The 13,719-nt window shown below is 56.9% G+C and overlaps 1 protein-coding gene and 1 long non-coding RNA gene across 6 annotated transcripts in view; one reads left to right on the top strand and one right to left on the bottom strand.

Moving 5' to 3' along the window:
- The window catches only part of KCNQ1 (potassium voltage-gated channel subfamily Q member 1), a 404,098-nt gene that overhangs the window by 330,066 nt on the left and 60,313 nt on the right, over positions 1 to 13,719 (bottom strand). The gene's annotated exons all lie outside the window — the stretch shown is intronic.
- On the top strand, positions 7,449 to 9,579 carry LOC124902613 (uncharacterized). The gene is made up of 3 exons (XR_007062553.1): positions 7,449 to 7,580; positions 8,763 to 8,886; positions 9,314 to 9,579. It is a non-coding gene; the product is annotated as an uncharacterized LOC124902613 (long non-coding RNA).

The raw sequence follows: 13,719 nt of genomic DNA, 5'->3' as shown, positions 1-13,719 counted from the left end.
GGCAGGGCCTTGGAAGCCCCTCCCCTGGCAGCCACAACAGGGCACAAACCACAGAAGGAGCGTGGATGTGATCCCACACCCGCTTCACAGACCCACAGCCTGGTCCTCCCCGTCCAGCTCCGGGTGAATGGACGCCTCCCCACCAGACTGGGCCTCCTTGGCCCAGGGCTCCCGTGGCCACCCCATGCCTCACGCTGTCTTATACTCTTTACCTGTGGCTTGTTCCGCGGCAGCTGAGTCTCATTTCTTTAAAAAGTTCTTGAAAGCCATGGGATCCCAGCCCAAGGGACACAACAATGGGTGACTTGGTGTGGCCGGTGGGTAAGATTTCTGCCCTCATTGTCTCCCGAAGCCCCAAGTGTGCTGTCCCCGTTAGACAGAGCCGCCAGCCCGCCTATCCAGGAGCCATCTGGAGATTAAACCTGTGTCCCACAGCAGGACCAAGGCTGTCCCCAGCCTCTTGGGGTTTCAGCTGACACTTTTTCCAACACAGATCTGGACTGGGAACCCCAAGAAACAGGTCCCTTCCTGCCAGCTTTCGGCTGGGTCCACACAGAACTCCTGTGCCTGCAGCACCTCCCCAGAGGCTGGTCCCCCTGCCGGGGCCACCAGGCCTGCACCCCAACTGCAGCCCACTCCCCTGGTCCCCCCGCCTCTGTCTCTCCTGTCCCAAGGCAGCGTCTACCCTCCCATGTTACAAGACCCCCCACATGAAGCCTGGACCCCAAACCCTCCTTCTGCGGAGGCCCTGGCCTGGGCTTCCCTGCCAGGCTCTCAGGAGGCCTCCGGCTCTGGCTTGCACCAGTTCATGGACCGCCAGGCAGCCACTGCCACCACTGCCTCCCCGACCAGAGCAGGGGCTCCCCAGGCAGGGGCCCACCAGCTGCATTCCCTCCCTCCGAAGGCCCAGTGCCAGGCGTGGGATGCACGTTTGTGAAGTGTTTGCTGAATGACTGATGGTGTGAATGAATGTTAGGGTAAACCCTCAAGCTCGGTGAATGAAGTCTCAGTGCCGCCTCCTCCATGCAGGCCTCCGGGTGAATCTGGAAGTGAGTTAGGCTCCTTAGACTCTGTTCTTTTCCTTCCTATCCCACCGCACACCACAGGCTCAGCCTAGCTCGCAAGTGGCCTTTGAGCAGGACGTGGTACTGAGGCAGCGTTCCGCCACCCCTCACCCCCAGGCTGCATGCCAACAGCACAGGTTGACAGATCGCTGGGAGCCTCCTGGGGTGGGCTCTGACGTGAGCTGCGGGCGCAGGCATGGCCCCCCCAGCAGGCAGGTGTGAGCGGGCAGGACGTGCAGGCATATGCTCCCAGGGCCATGGTCCCACTGGCCAAACCGGTCCCTCTTCCCTGAAGAAGCGTCTTAGGGGCTGCCCCAGAAGACCAAGTCAGGACAGGTGCAGGAGGTGGGGATCCTGCCAGGGGGAAACCCTGCCATCCCACCTGGTTGCCACGCCACATGCCTGGATGTCCTGGGACAAGGTCCTGCCTTTACTTCCATTCTGCCTGAGTCCTGCCAGACAGAGAGGTGAGGCGCCACAGGCCAGACAGTGACGCAGCGGGGACTCAACACGCGTGGGGCCCTGGGGAACGCGCCCCAAATCCAACCCGTCCCAGGGCTTCTCAGCCCTGAGCCCCCTTCGGTGCAGACAGAATGCCATGTCTCCCACCAGAGCCCTCCAGGGTGTCCCAGGAGCTTCCCACCTGGAGGTCCATCAGGTGCATCTCACCCCATCCCCATCGCCAGGAACCTGGATGCCCCCGCACCAAGAGGTGACAGGTGTGCATTCCCTCTTCAACGGCCCTGCAGGGTGGGGACTGATGGGTCCAGCTGCGCACGGGGCTCCTGGACGCTCAGGCCTTGCAGTGGGGATGAGGGCTGGCCCCGCCTGGCACCTACCAAGGGCTCATTCCCATCTCACCCGGACGCCCAGGGCCCTCGACCACACCTCAGTGCGGAGCGTGGAGCCTGGGCCCTGATCCCTCCTTTCCAGGAGCAGCCTGGGGGGTGAACACAGCCGTGCTTGAGGGCCCTGCCATGCCATCCCGAGTGTCACGTCAAAGCCCTTCAGAGGCCCTAGAGGGACAGGTGCTGGGGGACCCTCGGGCAGCCAGGAAGCTTCCCGGTGACACCAGGCAAACTCTGGGGGGTCGTGGCAAGGTGGGGGAGAGATCAGGAGGGGCCAGAACAATGTCCCTCCCCACCAGAAGAGCCCAGTGCAGCCCTGGCACACCTCTGGGCCAGAGAGGAAATGTCCTAGGCGTGGTGGGGCAGGTGGCCTCTGTGGCAATATTCGGCCGGGCATGGCTGTGTCCTAATAAAACTTTATCGACAAAATCAGGTGGTGGCCGTAGCATGAGGATCCCGGCAAAGAGTCCTGCTGAGAACCCAGGGCTCTGGCAGGATGGCATGTGGGTGTCTGCACCTGTGTGTTGGTTTCAGGGGACCCGCTACACAATCAGGAGCACCCAACAGTGGCATGTAAACATCAAGCAAGGGCAACCGAATTGGGAAGGTCCAGCTCCCTGTCCATCTCAAAGGCTTTCTGGGGGCCAATTTTGAGCCCGGAGATTGAGAATTCAAACAGGAACGTGTGCCCCCAGAGCTGGCCGCCACATCCCCTTTAAAAACAGGCTCTATGGTGGCCCCCAAGAATCCCGGTGGGTCAGCGGTCCCAGGCATGAGGGGACGCTGGGACTGAGCCATTTAAAGCCCACCTCCTCCTGTCGCCTCTAAACTTCATGAGAAGCCTGAGAAGTGGACCCATCCTTTGTTCACAGGAGAGGAGGAAGCTCAGAGAGGTTAAGGGACCTGCCTCAAGTCACACAGCATCGAGCGGTTGGCGAGAACTGGACTCCGGGTCTCCCTGACAGCATCACAGGTCCCCACAGCACCTCGAAGCACCCCGAAAACTACAACCCAGAAGTAAGCCTGGAGTGGTGGGCATCCAGGCAGCCTGGCCTTCCACAGGGAGATTCCAGCAGGAGCCCTGGCCTGGGCGTGGGCGGATAGGCCCAGGGGCTCAGTGAGGAGAGCTGTGGGATGCCCGGCCCCTGGGGTCTGGGCTGTCACTGCAGCCATGGCACACATAGAGGTGGTCAGGGCCTCAGCAGAGGACAGGGGTGGCCAGGCTCTGGGGTGCAAGCAGGAAAGGCATGAGCTTCTCCTGGGGCCCGGAGGGTGCAGGTGGCCCGGCAGAGCACAAGCCCCCCAGGGCCGAGGGCTGCTGGGAACGGGGCTCTGTGCTCCCAGGGCCGGCCACACCAAGCCTGGCTCCCTGGGCTGTGATAAGACACCCACAGAGAGTATATTTAGAAGGCGCCGGGAGGACAAACTGAAGTGACCCCATGGATGTGGCCCTATCTGCCCTAGGACACTCGTCTTGTCTCTGTGAGAGGCCTGCCTAGGGTGAGGAGGGGCTGGGCAGACCAGATGCACCTGTGCACCCCCCACCCCAGAAATGGCGAGGCTCTGCCTGGGCGAGGCCTGGTCCCAGCAGCCTTGTCCCCTCACCCCCACTGATGGCGGCTGCGCTGTCCTGGAGCAGAGGGTGGTGGTCTTGCTGGGCAGCAGGGGCCTCGGGGACGGGTGGGAGGGGTGGACAGGCCTCCCCGCCCCTGGGCCAGGGGCTCCGCCCTCCCTCACACAGGGCAGGCGTTAAAGCCTCCAAGAAGTGAATGAAATCATGTCCTTTGCAGCAACACGGATGGATCTGGAGACCATGATCCTAAGTGAACTACCGGAAACAGAAAACCAAACACGGCACGTTCTCACTCATGAGTGGAAGCTAGACAGATGGGATGCTTGGACAGAAAGACGGAGAAAGGTCACTCTGGGACTCCAAAGGGGAGGTGGAGAGGGTGAGAGGGGGAGGGTTGAAAAATTACCTATTGAGTATAACGTCCAATATCCGGCTGATGGGCGCACGAGAAGCCCAAACCCCACCATTACGCACGTAACAGACAAGTATGTGTACTCCTCAAATCTAAAATAAAATAACATAAAAAAACAAGAAAGACTTGAGGAAGCAGGCAGAGCTCCCAGAGCACCTCCACTCGGGAAGGGGGCGAGGTGCGGAAGGACAGCGAAGGCCTCAGGTGCCCTGGAGCTGCCAGGTCAACACGACCCACTGGCGGCTCAGGGTGTGGGTCCTCAGGGTTCATCCCTACTTGGGAAAGTCCCTCCTCACATCTAGCCCAAGTCTCTTTTCGAGACGGAGTCTGGCTCTGTCGCCCAGGCTGGAGTGCAGTGGCGCAATCTCGGCTCACTGCAAGCTCTGCCTCCCGGGTTCATGCCATTCTCCTGCCTCAGCCTCCCGAGTAGCTGGGACTACAGGCGCCCGCCACCACGCCGGGCTAATTTTTTGTATTTTTAGTAGAGATGGGGTTTCACAGTGTTAGCCAGGATGGCCTTGATCTCCTGACCTCGTGATCCCCTTGGCCTCCCAAAGTGCTGGGATTACAGGCGTGAGCCACCGCGCCCATGAGCCACCTCGCCCGGCCAAGTCTTTCTTGCTGTAGCTTGGTCTCCTGTATAGGGAAACCTCCTACCCACTACAGAGAACACTGGGTGTCCCTGGAAATGGAGCTGCTGTGTGGCCTCCTTGAGCCTTGGTTTCCCCACTGGGACATGGGAATGCGTCAAGGGCACCCGGCAACCTGAGCCACATTCATCCTCAGATCAGCCCCAGCCACACCTCAATATTCCAGAGATGGGGCAGCCCCAGGATCTGGGACCACAGGCACCTGGCAAGATGCTGCCGGGCTCTATGACCAGGCTAAGAGTGAGCTGGGAGGCAGCCAGTGTCCTGCACGGAAATGCGCCCCGGCCAGCTCCCTCGGCTCTTCTCACTGCCTCCATGGCCGCCAGCGAGGTAAGGTACGATAATGGCAGGGGAGGGGGGCATCTCCCACTCCGTGGAGGGCCAAGCCAGGAGCTGAGGGCAGCTCAGGTTGGGGAAGCTGACCAGGGCACCAGGAGTGACCTGCACACCCCCCAAATGGAGACAAAGAGTCCCCCAGTGTCACTGTGGGGCCCGGGAGCCACTTGCCTCTCTGAGCAGCTGGGTGAGCCAGCATGGGACAGGCCCCATGCACACACCTTGCAGGCCGGGGGGCATCAGAGGCCTTGAAATAGGCAGGTGGGGCTTTAGCCGGGCAGGTGAATTCTCTTTCTGCACCTGGCCTTCCTCCCTCTCCCAGCCCACTGGAAGGGGCAATAAGGGAGGGCTTCTCAGAGGTGGAGGCCCAGTCTAGGCAGAGAGAATGGCAACCTGTGCAGATCCCAGAGGAGAGAGGAGAACCCAACCTGCAGGGATGGATGGAACTCAGGAGAGAGGCCGGTGCGGAGGCAGAGAAACAGCGGCCAGGGTGGCTGGGACACCCCCAGGCTCTGGTGATGGAGGCTCCCGACAGCAGGCGGGTGGCTGTCTCTCCCAGTAGGCCCCAGCATGGTGGACTGGTGCCTGTGGAACTCTGAACACGGCAGGGATGCCTTGGGCCCAGCAGGGACCTCAGGCCAGCAGGTGCCTGGGCCATGCCCTGGGGAAGAGGGCCCAAGACCCCCTAGGCTCTATGGCTCTGAGGGACTGCCCAGCACTTTGAGGGCAGGGCAGGTGGATCCCATCCCAGACACTCCCCTTTGATCCACAGGGCAAACAGCTGCCCCACCCTCAAGTCCCATGGGTCCCTTGAGGTCATGAAACCTTTCCAGCTGAGTCCAGAACTGACACTTAGAGATAGTCTCTGCGTGGCCATATCAGGGAACAGCCAAGAAGAGCAAAGAGGGCTCAGGTGAGTGACGGCCCCTGGAGTTGTGCAATGACACGGCCAGGAGAGTACAAAGGTCCTGGTCGGAGGGTGGGGGAGTCCCTGCACTCACATCACACAGGGTCAGGATTCCCCCCAGACAAGACCTGGTGGCCCAGAGCGCAGCACAGCATCATGGCTTTCTCCTCGGGAGCTCTCTCCTCCAAGGACCGCTCTTCCCAGTGAGCAGGCCGGGGCTTGAGCAGCCTCCTTCCTGAGCCGCCAACTCTCCATCCTCCCAAGATCCCTGCTCCAGGGTCCACTGCCTTCCCAGAGCCAGAGCTCCTAAAGCCCCATCATCTGCTCCCCAAGACCCTGGGCCAGGAAAACCCTCTGCTGACACAGCAAGGATCTCGCCAAGGGGACAGACCGCCCTGGGGAGCAGGACACGCCAACTCCCACGGCTAGGGGTGCCTCCTCAGTGGGGTTGTTTACCTGAACTCCAGGCGGGCAGACAGGCAGGCGCCCCCAGCCTCCATGACCAGTGGTGGCCCTGAGGCATCCCCTGTAACAGCAGGCTGGACCAGAGAGTGTGGCCCCAGACACCCAGGGACCTAGCCCAGCTCAGCCTCAGGCCCAAGGCACGGACATCCCTGCTCAGAGAGCAAGAGGCGGCCAGAGGGCCTCAGGGCAGGGCTGCACATCCCCGGAAGCCACTGCGGGACACTTCAACTCACACCCTGCTGGCCCCATGCGGTCATGGCCACACTTGTCTTGAGGGAAGACTGGGAGGGGTTGTCATCCCAGGTGGCCGTGTGTCCCATTGCAAATCTGGGTGTGTGGGGGCAAGGATGAGGGGGAAATGGGGATTCAGAGAGGGAGGTAGGCATATTGGGATAGGAGACAGACAGTTCTCCTGGCTGCCCATCTCGGGGGCATCCCTTTTCTGCCAATCCCAGTGGCCCCAGGCATCGACGGGGAGGATGCAGAGGCAGGGGCAGCCTGCGGCCCTCTCCCGCCCCGGCTCCAGCACCCGTAGGGCCCTGAGTCCAGGGAAGGCTGAGCATGTGCGGTTCTCATTGTCACCGGCTGGGCAGGCCAAGTGCTCAGCGAGCTTATGGCCCAGGTTTTGTGCAAATCTTGTTCGACTGAGTGTGTATGGCCCATGGGAAGCCCTGGCATTTGGGAGGCACCTAACCCTGGGATGAGACACAAATCTTGCACGCCGAGCCCGACAGCGCAGCCCCTGATGTCTCTGCCCTCCAGGAAGCAGCCCCATTTCCTTTCTCCAGCTGGCCCGAGACAAATGCTCACGCTTCCTCTGCACTGCTTCCTCATGCCCTGTCCATGCCCGCTCTGACCTGTGCCCTCCACCAGGGAAAACCGCGGGTTTTTCCCTGCACAGGGGGCTGCAGGCCAGGCCGGGCTCCACAGGGCAGATTGAGGGGCCCGCATGTGGCCAAGCACCCCCTCCCCTGGGCTCCTGCATGGAGGTTCCCAGCTCCCAGAGAACCTTCCGGGCCACAATTCCACTAGGCCTGGCTTTCACCAAATCCAGGAGTCACTCATGGGCCTGGAGGGAGGAAGTGGCTAATTTTGCAACAGGCCTGGCATGGGGCATTGAATTATTCAACAACAGATGCATTTAGCAGTTTTATTTCTGTCTCGGTATCCTCAGTCCCGCCCAACAGGAGCCCAGCTCTGGCAGGAGGGGCAGGTTGGCACCTCTACACAGCGGCTGGGAGCATGGAGACCACTCACCCGTCACCTGCCACAAACCACTAGTCATGGAGGGTGGACTCCCAGGCCACAGACTGACCAGGACTCAGGTAAGCCATATTACCACCCATGCAGAGACTGACCCTGAAGGGCTGCTGGGCCTGACGAGGTGGTTCTGGTTCCATGGGGGTGGGGGAGAGTGAGAGGGCATTCAGAAACAGGAATCAGGCGGTGCCAGCTGCCTCCCCAGGAAGCCCTCCAGTGGCAACCTCTGGCTCTCAATTCTGGCCCTGCTGCCAGGAACAGTAGGGGCTGCCCCCTTCCCCACCCCACGTCTCCTCCTTTTCCGTGACAGTCACACCCAAGGTGCATCCCACAAGAGCCACATCCCATGCCTGGCTTTTGTCCCTGCTGCCCCCAACCCAGGAGGCACGTAGTGTGTGCCTGGCACCACGCTGGGCTCCAGGGGTGCAGAGACAGATAACAGACACAGGGAGAGAGAAAATAAACCGTAAATGAACACATAAAACCACCACCAATGGGGAAAAGAGAAAGGGTGACGTCTCGGGGAGAGGCAGGGCAAGAGGGCTGCCCCAGGAGCTGGTGTGGGATCTGAATCGGGTAGAGAGCTAGGGACAGACCCTGCAGGCAGAGAAAACTGCACGTGCAGAAGCCCTGAGGCATGGCCTGGTCTGGGCCAGGGGAGCAGAGTGATGGGCAGGGAGATTCGCTCACACTGTGATCGGAGGAAGGCCACGCCCAGGAGTGCATCTGAGCGTGCCAGCCTTCCCAGGACCTGGAGGCAGGCTCTGGCCTAGAATCTGCTGCTAACCAGAGAAGCATCTGGCCTGGGCCTCAGAGACCAGCTGGAAGGAAGGGTGGAACAACACCAGTGCGGCTTCAATTTCACGGACATTGCCCAGAAGCAGAGAAAGCCCAACATGTTAGCCTTGTTTGTTCCTTTGAGAAAGGGCCTGGTTCTGACACCCAGACTGGAGTGCAGTGGCACAATCTGAGCTCACTGCAACCTCTACTCCTGGGCTCAAGTGATCCTCCCACCTCAGCCTCCAGGGTAGCTGGGACTACAGATGTGAGCCACCACACCCAGCTAATTTTTGTATTTTTAGTAGAGACGGGGTTTCACCATGTTGCCCAGGCAGGTCAGGCTGGTCTCAAACTCCTGGCCTCAAGCAATCCACTTGCCTCAGCCTCCCCAAATGCTGAGATTGCAGGCGTGAGCTAACATGTCCAACAAACCTTTATTTATTTATTTAAAAATTTTTTTTTTTTAGACACAGGGTCTCGTTCTGTCACTCAGGCTGGAGTGCAGTGGCAAGATCATAGCTTGCTGCAACCTTGAACTCCTGGGCTCAAGTGATGCTCCTACCTCAGCCTCCCGAGTAGTTGGGACCACAGGTATGTGCCAGCACACCCAGCTAGTATTAATATTTTAATTTTTTTTTTTAGAGATGGGGTCTTGCTATGTTGCCCAGGCTGGTCTCGAACTCCTAGGCTCAAGCAATCCTCCCACTTTGGCCTCCCAGTGTACTGGATTGACAGGCCTGAGGCACCACGACCGATCCCAATTAGCCTTTAAACACCAGGAAACCAAAGTCAGATGCCAGGACATATCTAAAGAGAGAGGCAGCCCTGGCAGTGGGTCTGTTCCCGGCTGTCACTTGTCACCTCCATGGGCATTTCCCAAGCCAGGCTGCATCACGCCACCATTGGCCGGCCCCGCCAGGGTTCCCTGTCCACACCTCCCAGTCCACTTGGCTCAGCCAGCAGCCGCCCAGCCCCGCTCCCCACCCCCGGAAGCCCCTCTTTTCTTTCCCTATCCCAGGACTGTCTCCTGGCCCAGTCCCAGACAGTTCACAGCTGAGGAGGAACAAAGCAGAGGAAAGGGACGTGGCGTGACGTGCTGGGAGTGAAACGCTGACACCTCCGTGGCCATCTGGGACCACGACCTGCACTACTGCCCTCACACCCGGACCTGGAGCTGCCACTTCCTGCCTGCTTCCCAGAATAGCTGGGCTCATCCTCTGAGCAGGCTGCCCTGCCTTCCTCTGTCTCTGCTCAGGACAGAGACTCCTCCTAGGACACCAAACACCCCCCACACAGCACAGACCCAGCCTCCCAGCCAACGGCCACTCACTGGAGCAAAGGGAGCCAAGTCTGGCTTTGGACAGGAAGATGGGGTTTGCCAGGCAAGGGGTGCAGAGATGCTGAACTTGAACATGGAGGGGAAACAATGATGATGCCAAGGGAAGGGGCCCTGGGATCCTACCAGACCCTACCCCAAAGTCCGAAGCCACTCTTCATGAAATAATATGTGATATTAAAAACTTAAATTTTCAGTTTCATGAAACAGCAAATAAAAGCCTTGAGATAGTTGCTCTCCCAACCTGTGCTGTGTGCTTTTGGTAACAGAGTCCTTCCCCCAGGGACCCCCAAATTCCCCAGTATGGGGCATGTGTTGTACTAATTTCAAGACCTCTATTTCACCCTGAGCAATAGCTCCTCCTCCAGGAAGCCTTCCAGATTGCTCAGTCAAATCCCATGCAGACTCTGCACACCCTTGCCCAGGGCTGTGCCCCTTCCCCACGGCCCTCATCCAGCTGGAGCTCTACATTCTTCGTTTGCCTCTGTGACTGTAGGGTGCCCTCCAGTGCCCACAAGGGCCAGGCTGTGTGCATCAGGCACATGGGTGTGGAGGGAGCATGCATTCAACTGTGACTTTCCTTAGCCCTCCTCAAGCCTGTATGAGAGCAGGGGAATTGATGGCTTTCTTCCTAAAAAGCTTAGTTCAACAGTCTTTCCCATCCCTCCCATTCGGGGAGTTTCTATAGAGGAAGCCAGGTGGTCACTGCCATCTTCAAGGATTCCCTGGGGGTCTCTGAGCAACAACAGGATATCTGGGTCACCCACACCCTCTGTGCTCTGAGAAGCCCACCTGCTAGTCTGGGAGTCTGGGTCCTGGTGGGTCCCAGCCCCGTACATGGAGGCTGGGACCCTGCCCCGAAACCTCTCAGGTGCGAACACCCAGCTGGTTATATCATCACCCTCTCTGCATGACAGATGGGACACTCCACTCAGGACCCACACTCCTCCCCATGCAGAGCAGCCAGGCCTCGGGAGCTGTGTCCTGACCTGAGGTGCAGTGTCCAGGGCACTGTCTGGACAGTGCTCCCCAAAGCTTGCCCTGCCAAGCCCAGGTTCCAGGACAATGATGGGCTCCTGGCCTAAAGTCTTTCCAAGACATATCTCCGCCGGGTAACGGCAAGTCAGACAAGCCAGTATGGTCCCCACAGGAGCCCAAAGACCCTTGGTGACCACCATGGGTTGGTGGAGGTTGTGGTACCTCAAACATGCATGCCTAGTGTTTGCAAACCTCACCTTCAGCAGCAGCATCCCTGGGAAACCCCAGCTCCACTGCCGTGGGGCCAAGGCAACACAGACCCCTGCTGGGGCCCAGGCCAGCTCTGTGGGGCCGAGCTGGGTGTTTGTGTCTGAGAGGTTTCAGGGCAGGGTCCCAGCCTCCATGTACGGGGCTGGGACCCACCAGGACCCAGACTCCCACATACGTGTGTGGAATAAAACTCATAACCCCACATCACCAAGTCAAGGCCAGTTCCAAAACCTCTCAGGAGGGCTCAACACAGAGTCCTTTGTTCTTCCTCCATTGCCCCTGTGGAGGCTGCAGGACACCCAACCTCCCGGACTTGCCTTCCTTGCCCTCAGCCTCCACAGCTGCCATCACTTGGCCCTTGCCCTCTGCCCTTCCACCCACCCAGGCTACAGGAGGCCCTGTCTAGCCCCTGCGCTCATGTCATTTACACACTGACACCTCCCCTAACTTGTGAGCCCAGCCCGCACTCTCTCCCCAGAGCTCCCACCTGCAGGTCTTACTGCCTTCAACCCACCTCACCTGGCTGCCTCACAAACACCTCCAAAATAACATGTCCCCAGCTGGACTCCTTCGCCCCAACCCTGACCCATGTCAGAAACAGAAAGTGCATCCTCCCAGGTGCGAGGGGTCCCAGCAGCATCCTTTTCTCTTCCTCCCGCTGCACCCGCCACCTTATCTACCTGCAAACCCTGTTTTCTACAGCAGTGGTCCTGACTTCTCACCCTTCCTTCAAACCCTCTAGAGCAAACCACGCCGTCCCATCCCACAGCCACCTCAGTCACAGCCTCCTGCGCATCTCGTGTCCTGCCCGATGACCCCACACTCCATGCTCCACTTAGAGGCCAGAGGGGCCTCGTGAAGGCCCCAGCCAGTGGGGTGAACTTCTAAGGAAGAGGTCTCAGGCCACTCTCTGAGAAAAGATTACCTTAGATCATGCACAAGAGCAAACTCCAAACGGACAAGGAGCTAAATGCTGAAGACAAGACCCCAAACCTCCAGAAGAAAACACAGTGGATTCCCCTTAACCTCGGTGGAGGAAAAAGCTCTCAACTGTGGCCCTGAATCCGGAGTCAGTAGAAAGAAGCATGATAAATTTGATGATATAAACATGCGAAATTTCTCATAGCAAAAAGCACCATAAGCAAAGTCAAAGACAAGTGACCAGCTGGGAAAACAATTCACATTAGTCCAGACAAACGTTCCCACAATATAAATGACTTAAAAATTGAGAGACCAAGAACCAAAAACCCAATGGAAGAAGTTGGAAATGAGAAGACAGACGATTTACAAATACACACACACATGACTTTTAGACACAGGGAAAACATTCAAATTCAATGTAATTACAGAAATACAGATTAAAACAAAGCTATGGACCTGGCAAAAAGTGGTGTGACAGCACGCTGCTGGCGCAACTGTAGAAAAAACCGGTATGCTCATGCATTGCTGGGGGAGTGCAAATGTGCAACCGTTCTGCAGGGAAATTTGGTCACATCCAACAAAACTACGGGCTTCTCTTTCAGCCCAACACTCCCATTTCTAGGAATCTACCCTGAAGATAACACCTCCAACAATAGGAACATCCATACCTACGAAGTTATTCTTTGCAACATTGTTTCAAGAATACAATAGACATATGTATAAGGCTATACTTTGCAACATTATTTATCATTGCACAATATCAGAACAACCTAAATGCCCATAAATAGGAGAGGGTTTGAATAAGCATGGCACATCCAACCATAAAGTATGGGGTGGCTGTAAAAAAGAATATGGAAGGACCCCACGAACTGATATGTAGTGGTCTCTAGGAAATACTATTACGTGAGAAAAGCAAATTCAAAAAGTTCACGTATAGTCTTTTCGACAAATGATGGTGGGATAACTGAGTATCTACATGCAAAAGAATAAAGCTGGATATAAAAAATTAACTCAATATGGGTCAAAGGTATAAATGTAAGACCTAAAGCAATAGGAACACATAGGAGAAAATAGAAAGACTTTGGATTTGAGGATGATTTCTTGAATACGACATTGAAGGCACAGGCTCCGGTGAACAGTGCCGCAGTAAACGTAGGAGTGCGCATCTGTCCCTGCTGGACTGATTTTCTTTCTTTTTGGATATATAACTAGCAGTGGGATTGCTGGATCACAGGGGCTAAGCACGTGGACAAATTAAATTTTATGAAAATGTAAAGTCTGTATATCAAAAGGTGATATCGGCAGTGGCAGAATAGATAAACATGATCCAGCTACATGCTGTCTACTAGAGACTCGCGTTAGAGCCAAAGACACAAAAAGATTGAAAGTGAAAGGGTGGAAAGAGTGGAGAAAGAGGTTCCATGCAAATGGCAAACACAAAAAGCAGAGTGGCTACACTAACATCAGCCAAAAATGGTTTTATAATAAACCTAGAAAGGTCACAAGAGACAAAAGAGGACGCTGCACACTTAAAGGTTCGAGGCTGCAAGAAGATGTTACAGATAACCATTATAAACATTTATGCCTCTAACAGCTAACGATCAAAAGACACAAAGGAAAAATTTACAGAACCGAAGGGAGAAATAGTTCTACAATGATGGTGAGAGACTTCAGTACCACATTCTCTATAATGAATAGAACAACCAGGCAGAAGATAAGTTACAGAATAGAGGACTTAACACAATAAGCCACCTAGATCTAACCAACATGCAGAGAACACTCGACCCATGACCACAGCATGCATGTGCATCCCAAGTGCACGTGGAAATGTTCCCAGGAGAGATCAGGCCACGAATTAAGTCTCAAAGTACTCAAAAAGATGCCAGTCATACAAAGGATCTTCTCCAACGATAATGGGA

This window comes from Homo sapiens, chromosome 11, assembly GCF_000001405.40.
Source record: "Homo sapiens chromosome 11, GRCh38.p14 Primary Assembly".
Taxonomy (NCBI): Eukaryota; Metazoa; Chordata; class Mammalia; order Primates; family Hominidae; genus Homo; species Homo sapiens.
Note: the sequence above shows the minus strand (reverse complement) of the source record. Positions and strands in the feature narration are given on the sequence as shown.